The sequence below is a fragment of the Homo sapiens genome, chromosome 12 (assembly GCF_000001405.40).
Source record: "Homo sapiens chromosome 12, GRCh38.p14 Primary Assembly".
Lineage (NCBI taxonomy): Eukaryota > Metazoa > Chordata > Mammalia > Primates > Hominidae > Homo > Homo sapiens.
This window is the reverse complement of record NC_000012.12, coordinates 67,265,593-67,282,529: the sequence shown is the minus strand read 5'-3', so window position 1 is coordinate 67,282,529 and position 16,937 is coordinate 67,265,593. Positions and strand designations below refer to the sequence as shown.

General features: G+C 40.4%; 1 protein-coding gene and 1 pseudogene across 4 annotated transcripts in view, besides 5 other annotated features; one reads left to right on the top strand and one right to left on the bottom strand.

The window, feature by feature from the left end:
• The window catches only part of CAND1 (cullin associated and neddylation dissociated 1), a 50,596-nt gene extending 37,424 nt beyond the window's left edge, over positions 1-13,172 (bottom strand). For 2 of the 4 annotated variants that reach the window (NM_001329676.2, NM_018448.5), the window contains exons 1-2: positions 12,745-13,172; positions 477-620 (exon numbers count right to left, since the gene is read on the bottom strand). In NM_001329676.2, coding sequence (NP_001316605.1) covers positions 477-479 — 3 coding nt within the window. In that variant the 5' untranslated portion in view covers positions 480-620; positions 12,745-13,172. Of the gene's footprint in view, positions 1-476; positions 621-8,903; positions 9,031-12,744 lie in introns of all 4 variants that reach the window. The other 2 variants (NM_001329674.2, NM_001329675.2) reach the window with 2 other exon arrangements.
• Positions 3,550-4,049: an enhancer, noted in NCBI's record as "H3K27ac hESC enhancer chr12:67672261-67672760 (GRCh37/hg19 assembly coordinates)". NCBI's record gives its function as "activates a minimal SCP1, AML or CMV promoter by ChIP-STARR-seq in naive H9 embryonic stem cells {active_cell/tissue: H9 hESC(naive)}" and the evidence as "EXISTENCE:reporter gene assay evidence [ECO:0000049][PMID:30033119]".
• Positions 4,050-4,551: an enhancer, noted in NCBI's record as "H3K27ac hESC enhancer chr12:67671759-67672260 (GRCh37/hg19 assembly coordinates)". NCBI's record gives its function as "activates a minimal SCP1, AML or CMV promoter by ChIP-STARR-seq in naive H9 embryonic stem cells {active_cell/tissue: H9 hESC(naive)}" and the evidence as "EXISTENCE:reporter gene assay evidence [ECO:0000049][PMID:30033119]".
• Positions 12,406-13,057: an enhancer, noted in NCBI's record as "NANOG-H3K27ac-H3K4me1 hESC enhancer chr12:67663253-67663904 (GRCh37/hg19 assembly coordinates)". NCBI's record gives its function as "activates a minimal SCP1, AML or CMV promoter by ChIP-STARR-seq in naive H9 embryonic stem cells {active_cell/tissue: H9 hESC(naive)}" and the evidence as "EXISTENCE:reporter gene assay evidence [ECO:0000049][PMID:30033119]".
• Positions 13,337-13,596: an enhancer, noted in NCBI's record as "active region_6624". NCBI's record gives its function as "activates an Ori minimal core promoter by ATAC-STARR-seq in GM12878 lymphoblastoid cells {active_cell/tissue: GM12878}" and the evidence as "EXISTENCE:reporter gene assay evidence [ECO:0000049][PMID:35858748]".
• Positions 13,737-14,036: an enhancer, noted in NCBI's record as "active region_6623". NCBI's record gives its function as "activates an Ori minimal core promoter by ATAC-STARR-seq in GM12878 lymphoblastoid cells {active_cell/tissue: GM12878}" and the evidence as "EXISTENCE:reporter gene assay evidence [ECO:0000049][PMID:35858748]".
• On the top strand, positions 15,568-16,691 carry GGTA2P (glycoprotein alpha-galactosyltransferase 2, pseudogene; annotated as a pseudogene).

The following is a 16,937-nucleotide window of genomic DNA, read 5'->3' as shown; positions in this document are numbered from 1 at the left end:
GGTCAAGGCTGCAGCGAGCTGTGATCACACCACTGCACTCTCACCTGGGAGACAAGGTGAGACCCTGCCTTAAAAAAAAAGAATGTTATTATTATTAGTTTTTAATTTTCCTTAGTCATTTCATTTTAAAATTTCATCCCCACTGGAATACAGAGATACATAGAGGAAAGTAGGCCTTTAACTCAACTAAAAATGTAGACTATAGTGAAACAAATGAGAGAACCATTGTTTTTGGAGTTCCCTACATGCACTTCGTAAGAATTAAAAGAAAATACCATTTAGTAACTTATATGCTGTAAGGAAATACACTATATATACCATATACAAACACTAAACATTAGTCACCTAAAAATTCTACACACACACACTAGAAAGAGATAGTACAAGGCTAAGATAATTTACTACTTATCATAGAGTTTTTAAAAACAGGGTTGGGGGAGCAGGAAGAAAGACTCAACCAGTAAAAAACAACTTACCATTTGACAGCTAAATTCTGTACCTCTCCATTTTTATCTTCCAATAACTTCAAAATCATTTTCACTACTTTCCTTTCACTATCATCATCCAACTTGATGGAATCTTTCTGCAGTTCCGTCATCAAATCATTTGTAGCCATAAACCTATCAAAAAAATAAAATTTGTTAATTTGAAAATTTTAAAGCATTAATTTAAAAAGATAATGATTTTTCAAATCCACTGCTATACCATTCACTCAACAGAAACATCTTTTATTATAAAACTCATCCACTTTTTAAAAAAAGTGATCATAAATTTAATCTAAAAGCTACCAAGGAAAAGAGCAATAATGTACTTAAAATTCATTGTATCCAGAGAGACGGTGAGACTTTTTAAGTACTGATATGCTTTTATATGAGGTACCACTATCCAAAATTATTTTCCCCAGGTCAGTCTTGATCTCAAATTGACTACCAGGACCTACAGTGAGTACTCTTTCATTCTAATTAATTGCATCACTGCTTTTAGGTGAGAAAAGTTCCTCTTTACTTTTTCTTTACATGAGATTTGAATTCTATCTAGGAAGCCCTTAACCAAAAACATTAAGAACACCTTCCAAACATTAAGAACACTTTCAAAACAAGTACGTTGCATTGCAGGGGATGATCACATATTACTGGAAATTTTCCAAAATACCCATCACTAGGTATCAGGCCTATTTTCTTTTTCATTCTCTTTTTTTTGTAGAGGGAGTCTTGCTCTGTCGCCCAGGCTGGAGTGCAGTGGCAGGATCTCGGCTCACCGCAACCTCCGCCTCCCAGGTTCAAGCTATTTTCCTGCCTCAGCCTCTCAAGTAGTTGGGATTACAGGCGCCTGTCACCACGCCCAGCTAATTTTTGTATTTTTAGTATTTACTATACAAAAATAATAATTTAGTATTATTTATAATAATTATAATTTATAAGAAATAATTTATAAAAAATAATTTAGTATTATTGTATTTTAGGGTTTCACCATGTTGCCCAGGCTGGTCTTGAACTCCTGACCTCAGGGAATCCACCTACCTCGGCCTCCCACAGTGTTGGGATTACAAGCAGGGGCCACTGTGCCCAGCCACCAGGCTTATTTTCAAAATAGTGAAGAGGTGATTCTAAAAAGTAGCTCTTCCCCCTGACATCGCCCACCTCCCCTCCCCTTAAGAACCACTGCCAAAGGAAGGTTTAACAGTGTGTTGCCTGGCAAAAACCCAGAGTGATCAATCATCTAATCTCAGCTTTAAATGAAAAGGACTGAATGGTGGCCAAGATAAATAGAGTCTCAGGTAAAATAAGGTATAAACGGCATCTCAGATTTTCTTCTCCACATGCCTTACCAAACAATTCATTGTTTTAAAAGTGATTTCTCAGAATATGAGATAATCACATTCAAATAAAGCCCTAAGACCTCCTTAAAAGTCAAATGAACTTGTCCCATAATTCTTGGCTCCCCTCCACTTACAGAAGCAATCCAACTAAGATAACTAGTTAACACTTTTTTCTTTTATTTGAACCAGATACAGTTTTAGTAAAAATACGTTATTTTGTACACTACAGAGAAATGTCAAAATCCATGTTTAAACAAAAAAACAACTATTGGAGCTGAATTGATAAACAGCTATGGAGATAGTCCGCAACATGGGAAATAAACTGTGTGGTAAAGGTTGGCAAAACAACTTAATAATTTAGAAATGCATTACATGTAAGGCAATTTTAAGGATAATTCCAATAACTAGTACGTTCATTTAATGCTGATCTGACAAAGTTTTACACTACATGCAAGTAGGTATTATGGTAAAAACCACAATTACTTTTGCACCAACCTAATAGTTTAATTCTTACCACGTTCTGTAAAACTGCTTATTTTTAAAAAAGCTTATATTTGCATTAGGGCAATACAAGATCAGTTAAGCACGTACTTTTAAAAAATGGACACAGCTCTCCTAATTGGAAGCCCCTCACCCATTTTATAATGTGACAAAACAAAATTAAAACTACATGACTAATTTTCATTAATATTCTGGAAAGTGGAAAAATTGCATAACACATTAATGCAGGCACTCCTGCACACAAAGTACTGAAAAAATCTTAACTGTTTTACTTAAACAAAATCCATTAAATAACCATAATAGTTATGACCTCTAAGAACCACTGCAGTGCCAGTTACCTGCTTCCAGAGAAAACAGGGATCATCAATTTAAGTAGAAAAACATAATCCCAAGTAAAAAGTTGTTTTATGGTCCTGTATGGTTCTACCGGCACAAATTCATTCTTTACTTATTGTTTATTTATTCACTGTCTATTATGTAAGAAACTCTGGACTAAGAAATCAGGACAGATAAAAGTTGAATACACTTTGGCCCCCCTAACATCAAGAAGCTTACTTATATTGTAATAAAGAAGCCTACTGATTTTCAAAAATCTATGATTAATGGTTAAATATTTTAAAAAGTTGAAATGAGCACTATCAAAATTAGCAATAGATATTTTTAAAAAGCAGAAAAAGTAGATTATTATAATACCAAGAGTTGCTTTTAAATGGTGACCCTGAAATCACAAAGTTCTGGGAATAATTTATTCCTTCTATAAATGTGGTATTAAAAATTTACACTATTAATCTTATTAAGGAAGCTGTTTGACCAGTTTGAAAGCTGTCCATGGCATGTCCATGTCTCTTCAGCATTTACTCTTTTAGGTATGGTGCTAAGGGCACAGATCTCAATACATTTTATAAAACACTACTCAAGAGCATATGGAAATTATCACACCCAAGAGTTGACTGTTAGGTTGGATCTCAAAGGATGAACAGGGGTTTGCATGGGAAAAATTGGTTTGGAATTTAAATTACTTTTTTTTTTTTTTTTGGTGGTGGGGAAGGACAGAGCACCTCAGAGTGAAGGACTAAGGAAACAGTTCAGTATGTGGAGCACAGAAACCTAATAGGAAGATGATGGGAATATAGGCTGAGGTCAAAATGGGAATGGCGTTATATACTCATACACTGTGTAATAAGAACCTACTACATATCAGGTACTGTACTAGTTTTTGCTGATATAAGGGCTAACCAAAGCACACACAATTCTTGCTGTCTTGGAGCTTACATTGCAGTCTAGTAAAAGGCATATTAACTTTTTAAATTGCATGTATGAGTAAGCACCTGTAGAACTAAGAACTAAGATAAATGCTATGAAGGAAAGTGTTATCAAGAAAACACTATGGGGCCAGGTGCCAGTGGCTCACGCCTGTAATCCCAGCACTTTGGGAGGCCAAGGCAGGCAGATCTCCTGAGGTCAGGAGTTCGACACCAGCCTGGCCAACATGGTGAAACCCTGTCTCTACTAAAATTACAAAAATTAGCTGGGTGTGGTGGTGTACACCTGTAATCTCACCTACTTGGGAGGCTAAGGCAGGAGAATCGCTTGAACCTGGGACACAGAGGTTGCAGTGAGCCGAGATTGAGCCACTGCACTACAGCCTAGGTGACAGAGTGAGATTCATCCCAAAACAAGAAAGCACTATCATATAAACAAAGTAACATGACCTAGACTGAACTGCGGGTTGTGTCAGGAAAGACTGATCTGAAGAGTAGGAGCTGGGCATGGTGGCTCACACCTGTAATCCCAGCACTTTGGGAGACCTAGGCAGGTGGAGGTCAGGAGTTCCAAACCAGCCTGGACAACATGGTGAAACCCCGTCTCTACCAAAAATACAAAATTAGCCAGGCATGGTAGTACATGCCTGTAATCCCACCTATTTGGGAGGCTGAGGCAGGGGAAATGCTTGAACCTGGGCGGCAGTCGCTTGAAGCCGGGCAGTGGAGGTTGCAGTGAGTCAAGATCACGTCACTGCACCCCAGCCTGAGCAAAAGAGTGACACTCTGTCTCAAAAATAAATAAAGAGTAGGCAAAATTACGGTGAAGCAGGAGGAAGTTAGTGCCAGGTAAGCAAGGGCCAGGAATTTAAAGGATTTGTAGACCATATCAGGATTTTAGCCTTTATTCTAAGAGAGTGGGAAGCTACTGAAAAACAACTGGGTTACAGATGGGGAATAAATGCAATGATCAGATTTACATTTCAGAAACATTACTCCAGCTATACTGTGGACCATACTTTGGAGAGAACAAATCTTCATTTGGCCATACTGAATGGAGACTAGTTAGGAGAATGACTAAGTTAGAAATTATGATGGCCTGACTTAGGTTATGGCAATCAATGAAGATGGAAAAAAAAATGACATACAGTTGATTCTCATTATTCCCAGGTTCCATATTTGCAAATTCACCTACTCATTAACATTTATTTGTAAAGCAAAATTAATGCTTCCTATTTCACAGTCATTTGGATGAGTGTCGAGTGGTGAAAATTTTGAGTAATCCAACACATACATTCCCAGCTGTGGTGGCACAAAGCAACACTCTGCCTTCTAGCTCCAGCTCTCATGTTGTAAACAAGCATCTTCTTCTTGGCCTATTTCAGCCCATGTTTTTCACATGTTTGTGCTTTTTCTTGGCGCTCTTGTTGTTTAATATGGCCTCCAAGCACAGTGCTGAAATGCTGTCTAGCATTCCTAAGTGCAAGAAGGCTATAATGTGCCTTCTGAAAAAAACATATGTGTTAGATAAGCTTCTTTATTGGCTGTGAATTCAATGTTAATAAATCAGCAATATATATTAAGACAACTTTAAAAGAAACACTCATAAAACGAGGTTACAAACTCATCAACTGATTAAAATAATGTGACTCAGGACTCAGAGAAACTAATTCCATAATTCCCTCAGAAGCAATGGTTCAGTACTTGCTAACTCAGTGTTTGTGATAATGTTACAAAACATACTACAAATAATGAGAACTAGTTGGTTTGAATTTTACAAACTAAAATTAATAGTTCTTCAAAATGGATTAGATATAGGGATGGTAAGGATGAGCTAGCAGGAAAGAAGTAAAAGGAAAACCACAAGACTGGGTAATACAGTCAGCTAACATATCCTTGTCCAGAGTCTTAATGTTACCCTGCAGCCATTGTCACATCAGATGAATAAACTGCTCATCTTACAACAGAAGAAAGGATTAACTTTGGTTAAACTGCAAACTACATGGAATGGATATTCCTCTGATCTTAACAAAATCTCCGCCATAGTGAAGATGTGAAAATCAAAAATTAATGTCCTGCAGCCCAACTTTGTCTACCCTTGGCCAAAAGTGGGCACTGATAAAGAAAAAAACAGCAGCCTCCACATTCCAGAAACTTATCTGAGACTCATAACTAAACCTCAGTGTTATTACTAACCGATCTGATGCTTAACAGCTAAGGCATATTGTTTTCTTGGACATAAACAATCTCACAGAACATCCATTTCGGACAAGGTCCCTGAGCAATACAAAATACCAAACATTCCCCTCTCCAGTTAAATGAGTGACTGATACTTCTTTACCAACTACAGCTTTCCCCCTGCTTAGGTCAGCCCTCCCTGTAAAATTTATTAAGAGGCCGAATCATAGAATTGACCTCACTTTCTGACAACACTCAACCTAAAGCAAGGCTTCACTTCCTTAGACTCTTTCCCAAATTACCCAAATGAATAGGTTCCTTCTAACATCCTCTGATACCCTAAAGTGTGTGTTTTCCCTGACTATTACGGACAAAAACCCAACTCGTGTCAGGATGCCCATATAAGAGAATTCCAAGAAGGAAAAAGTGATTTAAAAAAATATACCAAATAGATGAGCAAAGAAAATATCCACTAAATGAGTTATATTAGGAGACTAGGGAGACTGTTGGGGATTTTAGGAGAGCAGTCTCTACGAATTCAGATGGGCAACAGCTAAGAAATCTGGAGTTTATCTTGTAGTCAATGGAAATTAGTGAGGGAGGCAATGATCAGCTGCAGTATATAGGAAGAAAATTCTAATGGCCAGAGGGAACAAACTGGGTTAGGAAGAGGCCTGAGACAGCAAGATTAATTTGAGAAATACTCATCAGGAGACTAAAGAAGACAGACGGGAGAAGGGTGATATCAAAGATTTTCTGCTTGTGACTTTCAGTGGATGGTAATTTAACAGGCCAAAATAAGGATAAAGAAGGCATTAAGACGGGAAAAGAAAAAGATAAATGTTTACGTTTCAGACTTCAATGGAATTCCCAGGTTGATATGACCTGTAGGCAGTGCCATCTCATTCCTTTATTCAACAAGTATTTTGAGGGCACCAACATAAGGAACTCTACTCTGCAAACACAGTGATGAGTAACACAGTCTGGAACTTACACTAGGTATGCACTAGATCGATAGATACCTTGCACTCACAATAACTCTCACCACAGCCTCTCCCATCATACATAAACACAATTTTACTCTTGCTTCCAACCAGAAATCTAGTTGATATGGTCAATTTTATCACTCAGTACACCAATTACCTTTCAGAGATCCTGCACATACACCACTGCTATTTCACTTTTCCTCAGTTATTCCTTAGAGTGCTATGAATTAAGTTGGAACAGTTTTTTTTTTTTTCTTTTTGAGACAGTCTCCCTCTGTCACCCAGGCCACAGTGCAGTGGTGCAATCTCTGCTCACGCAACCTCTGCCTCGCAGGTTCAAGCAATTCTGCTGCCTCAGCCTCGCGAGTAGCTGGGATTACAGGTATGCACCACCATGCCCGGCTAATTTTTGTATTTTTAGTAGAGATGGGGTTTCACCATGTTGTCCAGGCTGGTCATGAACTCCTGACCTCAGATGATCTGCCTGCCTTGGCCTCCCAAAGTGCTGGAATTACAGTCGTGAGCCACCACACAAGACCTAAATTGGAATAGTCTTAATATTGTTCATGTAAAGAAATCTAATTTTTACTAATCTTTCTTCCCAGTTTTCTCTGTGAGGTCCCTTCCTCCTCTTTCTCAGTGGTGAGCCCTAATCACTGCTGATAACCAGTTAGCATAGTATATATCAAGAAAAAAACATCAAAGTAAAATCAAGAAAGTTACTGCCATCAACCTTCTAAGTATTTTTAAAAGTGCCCAGAAATCACCTTCTTAATCTCTGCAAATCTATTTCTTCTGATTAAACCTGCTTTTCTCCAAGCACAAGTACTTAAGATAATTTCACTATTTCCTGTTATGTTATTGTAAATGCCCACCCACACTGTACTTTCAGCTATATGATAGGATCTCTAAGGTTCCTTCCAGCTCTGAAAACCTGATTCCTTAAAAGGCTTGAGTTTTTTTTACAAGCATTTTAAACAGTTTCCAAAAGAAAATACCGTCCAATATCCAAAACACTTAAATAAATAAATCTGGTAATATAAACCTTTATCAAATTGGGAAAAACTTGCATTCCAAAATGGGGTGAATTATTTTAAGAAGATTCTATCAAGTGGTATTTAAACAAACAGTTTAGTTGATTTTACAATGGTTTTCTGGAGGTTCCTAAAATCCCTATATAATGGAAATAAAACCCAATTCTACTTAAACAAGCACCTACTGAGAACCCACATGGCCCAGAGCCAGACAAAGAGAACGATTCCGTTTAGTAAGACAAGGTCCCTATTCTTAAGGAGTTCTGTGGACAATATCCATCCAGCTACAGTCAGGTTATCTATTCCCTCTTCCCCAGTGAAGTTTTGTATCGTGTGCTTTACATTTTCACTTTCTATCTAGAGTTTCATTTTCAACACCTGGCTCAAATCTCTCCATGGACATGAATCTTCTTGCTTTAATATTCTCTGCCACTTAATGCCTGACAATTACATATTGCCCTGGGTTATTCATCTTTTTACAATAGTGTCTTAACTATTCAACAAGCATGTAGATTTAGGGAAAGTAAGCACCAGATCTTAAACTTTTTGTAGTCCTCAGGAATTATTAAAAGCATCTTCTAGCATGAAATATTCTATAAGCCTAATTTTAGAGGGAAATGAAATTTAAGGCCTGAATCTTAACATCCACTAGTCTAAACCCTGGAGAAGTGACATAGCTGGGTGGTCAAGAGTTCATGTTCTGGGGGTAAAGAGATCCTATAAGTCCCAGACCTACTATCTAACTGACCTTAAACAAGTACTTAATCTCTCCAAATCTCAGTTTCTTCAACTGTAAACGAGATTATTATTATCCTCTTTTACTAAAGTTGTAAGGATAAACAAAAATCAAGCTCACAGTAAGCATTAATATTAACTATTATATATAGAAAGATAATGATATTTTCTTTAGCTCTTGATTCCTTGGAATATTTTAAATCAACTGGTGGTTGAAGAATATGAAAATAAAAGAAGTGGCTGGGCACAGTGGCTCAAGCCTGTAATCCCAGCACTTTGGGAGGCCAAGGTGGGCAGATTGCCGGAAATCAAGAGTTTGAGACCAGCCTGGGAAACATGGTGATACCCATCTCTATAAAAAAAATTAGCTGAGTGTGGTGGTGCGCACCTGTAGTCCCAGCTACTCTGGGGGCTGAGGTGGGAAGAAAATCGCTTGAGCCCAGGAGGTTGAAGCTGCAGTGAGTTGAGGTGGTGCCACTGCACTCCAGCGTGGGTGACAGAGCGAGACCCTATCTCTAAAAAAAAAAAAAAAAAAGAAAAGAACTTAGTTACCTCAACCTACCAAATATTCAATATTAATATTCACAAATGGAGTGTCACATGGTTCATCCACATTAAAGCTTTCACTCTGGTATCAACCGAATCCCCTATCTATTGGCTACATTATAAGGTTTACTCTTTATTCCTTTATGGAACATGCATCCCTAGAGGTCCTTAAAATAACTATATACACTGGTACAAATGTTTTCTGGCAAAAAGTCTCAGTACACTCCAGAAGTGTTTCTTTTAGGGAGGAAGTGATGAGAAGCACTGTTCTAAGGTACTGTCCCAAGGAATGTTTCTTCATTTTTCTTCTGAAGGTTTTATTTGAATTGGCATTCATTAATAACTTTTCACTAAACCGAGGCTAGTAAGTAACAGGCACTATCCTAGTAATTAAGACACACAAATGCCTCCTCCTTTTTTTAATAAAAGAGCTCCTAGTCTCCTTTTTTTAAAACAAACAAACAAAAAACCCTGCATGGGTGGATGCGGTGCTGGCCTGTAATCCCAGCACTCTGGGAGGCCCAGGCGGGTGGATCACGAGGTTAGAAGATCGAGACCATGCTGGCGAACATGGTGAAACCCCGTCTTGACTAAAATACAAAAAATTAGCCAGGCGTGGTGGTGTGTGCCTGTAATCCCAGCTACTTGGGAGGCTGAGGCAAGGGAGTTGCTTGAACCTGGGAGGCGGAGGTTGAAGTGAGCTGAGATGGCGCCCCTGCACTACAGCCTGGCGACAGAAAAGACTCCATCTCAAAAAAACAAACAAAAAAAACCAAAACAACAACAACAACAAAAACCCTGCATATGGCAGAGTTCCTAATCTCAGCATTTCTCATCCTAATGCTTCCCCATTTCTCCTAAGTCTTAATATCTCATTTTTAAATAATGCACAATACTAAAACACAAAAGAAATATTACAATTTTTCAATAAATTGAGCCTTAATAGTCCTACAAAAAGATTCTTTTAAAATGCAGAAATTTCCAAATTTTTAAGCCTGCATTCATTTCTTTACCTTCTCTGTATTAATGAACTATGTAATTATATAAATAGACCTGAAATTTTATGCCTATAACAACCTTTTGTAATTAGTCATGTCCATGCCTCTCAGAAGTGAAAATGTAATCTCAAATTAAATAGCTTGCATAAGATCTTACAGTTCATAACAAAGAATCACACATGATTAGAACCCAGATCTTGTGACTAGGTCAAATTCTCTTTGGATTCTACCATGAGGATAATAAAATTTGCTCTTCATTTTGGCAGCATTTGTTTCTTCTCTCGTCCTTAGTACAGGCAGAGTGCTTTGCACATGTTGGTCATTCCATAATGTTAACCTTGCCCTCAAGATCCTTCTAGTGCTAGGTATTTTTAAAATATGTAGCCACAAATCTTGGTATTTAAGCCAAAATAAATAAACTTCTAATGAGAACAAGGCATCATTTTTTTAAAAAAGAGCAAATTAAAATAAATGCCTATACTAAAAATATGCAGAAAAAATTTCAAAATTCTTGACTCCAAACGCTCACTAATTAATTATTAAATGTCTGTTTAAACTAAACATATAAAGTGCTTTAGTTCCAAAGACTTGTTTATTAACTAGATGGCTACAGCGCATTATAAAAATGTTTTTTAGAAGACAGTTGATAAAAATATCTTAATGATGCCAAATTACTGGAAATCACGTACTGCTCCTAAATATACCTTGTTTAGCATTCACCAACTATTAGGAATATATCAATATTACACTAATCCTCCAGGAATTGTTTTGATTCAGTACAACCAAAATTCATACATAATCTTTACCAAATTCAGCAGTGACTGTCATTTAGTATCAGAGCACTATTTCTTTCATGTAATTTATTTAAGAAAAAAACAACTAGGTATGTACATGTTATCTTTCTTTCACAGGAAATTTAAGAAAGCAAGCTTCAGTCAATAATCACATGTATGGTATCACCACATAATTTCTTTAGCCTTTCTAAACTTATACAGGAGAATGACTAGTTGAACAAAATTGTATTATTATAAAGTGCTACCTTCAGACTGAAATTGACCACAATCAGAATGAAATTTACCACCTTTACAGGATGAGCCAAACTGACAGCAATGGGGAGGAAATCACGCCACACACCTCATCCATTACTTGAATTGGAAGCAAGCAAAGCCCCAAAAATCAAACGGCATTCCAATCCGTAAAACAACACAAAACCTTTATTTCCCCCAAGAATCTTAATTTTGGCCCTAGAACTACACAAATCTAAAACACACAAAACAAACATGTCACCTCCAAAAAGTTACAATACTAAAATTTTTACCATTAGCGAAATGATTTTTAAGTTTTAAATACATTTAAGAGCTGCCTAGGTAGAAATATTTTTTAAAGTAATACGTGGTTTTGTGGTCATTGATTATTTTAATAAGCCAGTATATCAATTTAATCAGGAACACAATTACTACTTTTTCATGGTTCTCCTTTCACAAATCCGAAAAGTTCTTCCCAGTCCACACGGTTTGGACACATTTTCAAGTGTTAAAACATATTGTTCATACAAAACAAACAAGCTCTTTAGTCACAATTTTAGTTGAAGACTATTTGTTATTTCCTTTAAAATGCACCCAAATTACAACCACTAAGCATTAGAGAACAAAACAGGTATAAGGAAATAAGCGATTTTTTTTTCTTTTTTTTTTTTTTTTTAGATTGAGAACTTATTTGTGAAGAGATGGGAGGCGGGAAAGAATGCAACAATCACCGAAGCGTGCAAGGAAAAATAAAAACAAAGATAACCTGTAAAAATATAACAAATCTTCACTATGCATATTACAACACTTTGGAACCAACAGTACCGATCTCCTGAACAGAACTGCTGTAATAAAGCTTCATATTCACCAGGTCCGTATTAAACATCTCTTCCTTTTGAAGATCCGTCTGCTATGATTAAGATCCAGCAATCCACCCCTTTGGCAGTGATTTTGGATATGAGGACATGAGACTGAAACCCCGAGTTCCTAAGTTGGTTTTACCTGACAAGAGGAACTGACAGTGATGCTGGCGGGAAAACCCTATGAGCGAAGTTTCCTCCATCCTGGCTCCCCTCCCCCTTCTTCCCACCTTCACGAAAATTAATAATCCACAAAAGAACTATGTATCAGCCAAGAGCGCAAAAGTTCATCATTCCACCTGAATGCAGCAAGGCCCACGCGCACCTGCGGGCAGAGAGGAGGCTGCCGGGTCCCCGAGTGGGCAGCAGCTTGGGCCCCAGCGAGCAAGGCGGCCTAGCGCCGCAGGATGGCAAGCGAATAGGCCCGGCGCCCGGTCTCCCGGCCTAGAGCAACTCCCTTCTCCACAATGGTGGGTGGTTTAGCCCCTTCGCGCTACCTGAGACGCAAGAATCGCCTCCTGGTGGGGCAGGGAAGGATGTGGGGGCGCTGAGACAAGCAAACGGGGCCTAGAGACCGCGGCGGGCAACTGCCTAGGAGAAAGAATGGGGGGAGGGGGTTGCAAGAGGGGAGAGGAAAGGGGCTCCGCAGGGATCGGGAGGCCAGCGGACCGGTGGGCTGGAGACTTCGGGGCAGAGAAGCTACCGGCTACGGCCGAAGGGGTGGGGCAAGGCCTGCGTGACGGCCAGGGCCGCGGCTGCGAGAACCCCGAGGTGGGGTGAGGGTCGGATCTCGGCCTCACCTAAAGTCCTTGTCGCTGGATGTCATTTTTTCCAGCAAATTGGAAATGTGGTACGAGGCGCTCGCCATGTTGACGGCCTCGATCCCGCCTGCTGGCGCTGCTGGAGCTGCTGCCCGCTGCCGCTGCCGCCGCCGCCGCCGCCACTGGAGCTCCTCCTCTCGCTCGCGGCGGCTCCCGCTTCCAGGGTCGCAGCGCGACGCCGACGCTGACTAGGGAGGCGCCTCGACGGGCTGCCCCCTCCCTGGCGAGGCGTGGGCCTGTCCCGGGGTAAGCCGAGGCTACAGAGCCAGCCTAACGACGGCGCTGTTCGCGTGAGAACGAGCTCATGGGCGGCGGGGCGTACAGAAGGGCCTCTACGGGGAGCCAGACACTTCCACTCAGGGCCGTCTCGCTCCCACTCGCTCCGCACTCGCTCCCTAGGGCAAAAGGCCAAAGCCCGCCTCCTTCGCTCCGGGGGCGGGGGCGGCAGACGCGGGCGCTACGGAAAGCTAAGGTCAGAGTTCACGGAGGCCTCCCCACGCACGCTGTGGAGAAGAGAGTTAAAAAACAATTCGGTTGGCTGAAGCCTGTGTCAGTTTTCATGTGACCCGCCTTTTGGAGGCATGACAACACAAAAAAAAGGGGCTGTTCTCGCGAGACTCTAAAGCGACGGTTAAGGGACAGGGGACGAGTGGAGCAAGTGGGCCTTAATCTGAAAATAACTTGATTGTTTAATGACATTAAGAGAAAAAGATTACGAGCTTTGAGAAGGAGGAAGCCTGGGAGTAACGACAGTTAAGGAGTTAGCTTGCGGAACCAACATAAGAATTTATAACAGGGAGGTGTCGTTTGGGATCAGACGCGTGGCCTGCATTGCCGTAGCCACCGTGGTGTAATGTTGCCACGTAAAAACCACAAATCCCAGAATTCAGTCGGGTGATACACTGGCTCAGAATGTGATTGGCTGCGGGAACTAGTAGCTTCCTCATTGGCTCCCGTGGAAGGAGTGAATGCTGGGATTTGCAGTCTGATGGGGGAGCCGTGCTGGGTAAAAACCTTAGAATCGTCGCGCACTCCGTTTCTGCCGCGGATTCTTATATTCTCCAATACAGGCTTTTTCTGTTATGCAGTATTTGCAGAGCAGGCTGCTGCAGTTTGGCCAGGCGCATTGCGGATCAGTTGGTGTTCTTGCCAGAGGCCTAGCAGCAGCTTCCTAGCGCTACTACTTGCACCTCCCAAGGCAGCTGAGCCTCCCCACTTCTCTGGCCAGACACACTCCTACCGTGCATCGTAGAACCACCTCTCTGACGCCAGCAGGACCTTAGTAAGAGTAATGGGTATGCGACAGATGGCTGTAGTCAGGCCCTACTGATTTCAAAATAGCTAAAAGACTATCTCTGTAGTTAGCTTTTGTGGCCTTGATGGACCTGCAGCTGTGTATTGCTCCCTCAGACGTACAAATTCGTGGAGATGAGTTATGAAAGTATTTAGTATCCAAGTTTTTCATCTGCTTAATATTTGGGATTTTAAACACAAGTTTTGCCAGCTAGGGGTCAACATCCCTGAAAGTGTTAGGGATGGAGCTAGCTGACAGGCCTTTCTAAAAGAACAGAGAGCCTGGTGAAGAGATGAAAAATCAATCTCACTTGATACTCCTGTTAAAAACAACAACAAACCTTTAAATAGCTCTCTACTAACACATAACTCAAATCCGATCAAATCTACCTGACCTTTACCATTGTTTTCTGTATTCATCAACTATTACTGAGTACTTCAAAGTCAGGCAATAGGAGTTAATAAAACAGATGAAACTTGGTTTAGCCTCATAATATGTGTTTAAATTTCACACATACCTCTGATCTGCTCTCATGTATCCTTCTACTTGAATGTATGTAATATAAAGGCCGGGTGCGGTGGCTCATGCCTGTAACCCCACCACTTTGGGAGGCCGAGGCGGGCAGATCAGGGCATCAGGAGTTCGAGACCAGCCTGGCCAATATGGTGAAACCCCATCTCTACTAAAAATACAAAAATTAGCTGGGCATGGTGGCGCGCCTGTAGTCACAGCTACTCGGGAGGCTGACGTAGAAAAATTGCTTGAACCCAGGAGGCGGAGGTTGCAGTGAGCCGAGATCGTGCCACTGCACTCCAGCCTGGGCGACAGAGTGAGACAACGTCTTAAAATGATAATAATAATATATACGTAATATATGATATTTTTTCTCCCCAGTAATGCCATATTTCATTTTACCAATCTGCCATGATTAATATATCTTTCATCAAACTGTCCTTAGTGCTTCAGCCACAATTAATTGCCTTTTGCTCTGAATAGCCTTTCCACCATATTTAATGTAAAACACACACACACACACACACACACAAAGAAGCAGGTCTTTTTTTGTATGTGTGGACCTCAAGGCCTCAGTCATTTGGTATTATCAATAATACTTTCTTTTAGCCTGTGTCCACTCAGAAAGCAAATCATGGTTTGTCTTTTTCTGTGTGTAAATTCTTTCACTTTTGAATTTCCAGCTGAACTATAATATTTGGAGTCAGATTCCTTAAATATAAATCATGTTTACAGCCACTTACTTGGTGTCATAGGCAATTCATTTTCATCTTTCTCAACTTCAGTTTCTTCGTGGGTAAATGATGATCAGGATATTACCTCAGGTTGTTTTAAGAGTTAAATAACTCCTAACCTCAGGTGATCCACTGGCCTCAGCCTCCCAAAGTGCTGGGACTACAGGCATGAGCCACCACGCCCGGCCCAGCCAAATATGGTGAAACCCTTTCTCTACTAAAAATACAAAAATTAGCTGGGCAGATGATAAGGAGAAAATAATGAATGTCAAAGGAAACGTAATTCCTCCAGTGCTGGTTGTCTCAACTGCGATTGTTGTGGTTTGGAAATGTATCAACACCCAAGAAGGCTCTCTCTTGTGGATGTATCACTTAAAACACCCAGAAGTTGTTGACGGCGGCGGGCAGAAGGGCCGGTGGTTTCCAAGCTGCTTCAACAATGGGACCCACAATCCTCAAGCAGAGGAAGAAGAAGACATAGACAAAGAAAAAGAGAAAGAAAAAAGAAAAGAAGATGACAAAAAAAGAGCTTCGGCTATGGAACTGGTTTAATCCATACGATCGCCCAGAGGTGCTGACGGTGACCAGCTGGAATGAGCCGGTTGTGTGGGAAGGCACTTAGAACAGAACCATCCTAGAAAATTATTATGCCAAACAGAAAATTACTGTGGGTTGACGGTTTTTGCTGTCGGAAGACATGTAGAGTATTACTTGAAGGAGTTCATAGCATCTGCTGATAGGTACTTCATGGTAAGCCACAAAGTCATGTTTTACATCATGGCCGATAATCCAGGATGCTGTTGATAGAGCTGGGTCCTCTGCGTTTCTTCAGAGTGTTTGAGATCAAGCCCGAGAAGAGGTAGCAGGTCATCAGCATCGTGGGCATGAAGACCAACAGGGAGCACATGTTGGCCCACATCCAACAGGAAGTTGACTTCCTCTTCTGCATGGATGTGGACCAAGTGTTCCAAGACAATTTTGGAGTGGAGACCCTGGGCCAGTCCGTGGCTCAGCTATAGGCCTGGTGGTACTGGACACATCCTGAGGAGAATACTTAGGAGAGGCAGAAGGAGTCGGTGGCATACATTCCATTTGGCCAGGGGGATTTTTATTACCACGCAGCCATTTTTGGTGGAACACCCATTCACTTTCTCAACATCACCCAGGAGTGCTTTAAGGGAATCCTCCAGGACAGGAAAAATGACCTCGAAGCCAAGTGGCATGATAAAGCCACCTAAACAAGTATTTCTTCCTCAACATACCCTCTAAGATCTTATCACCAGAATGCTGCTGGGATTATCATTATAGGTCATCATGCAGATATTAAAATTGTCAAGCTATCTTGGCAGCAAAAAGAATATACGTTGGTTAGAAATGATGACTGACTTCAAATTGTGCCAACAGTTTTTTGAATTTGAGAGAATTATTATTCTGGCTACTTCCTCAGAAAACAATTTTAACTTTAAGAAAATATTAATGAAACACCAACATTGCAATCACATACTATCTCTCCTTGTAACTTTGAGCATTGTAATATGAGAGAATGAATCTATGGTAATCAGGTGTAAATTCCCAGTGATTTCTTATGTATTCTGAATTTGGGGGAAATACTATCAGCTGAACCAGAAAGA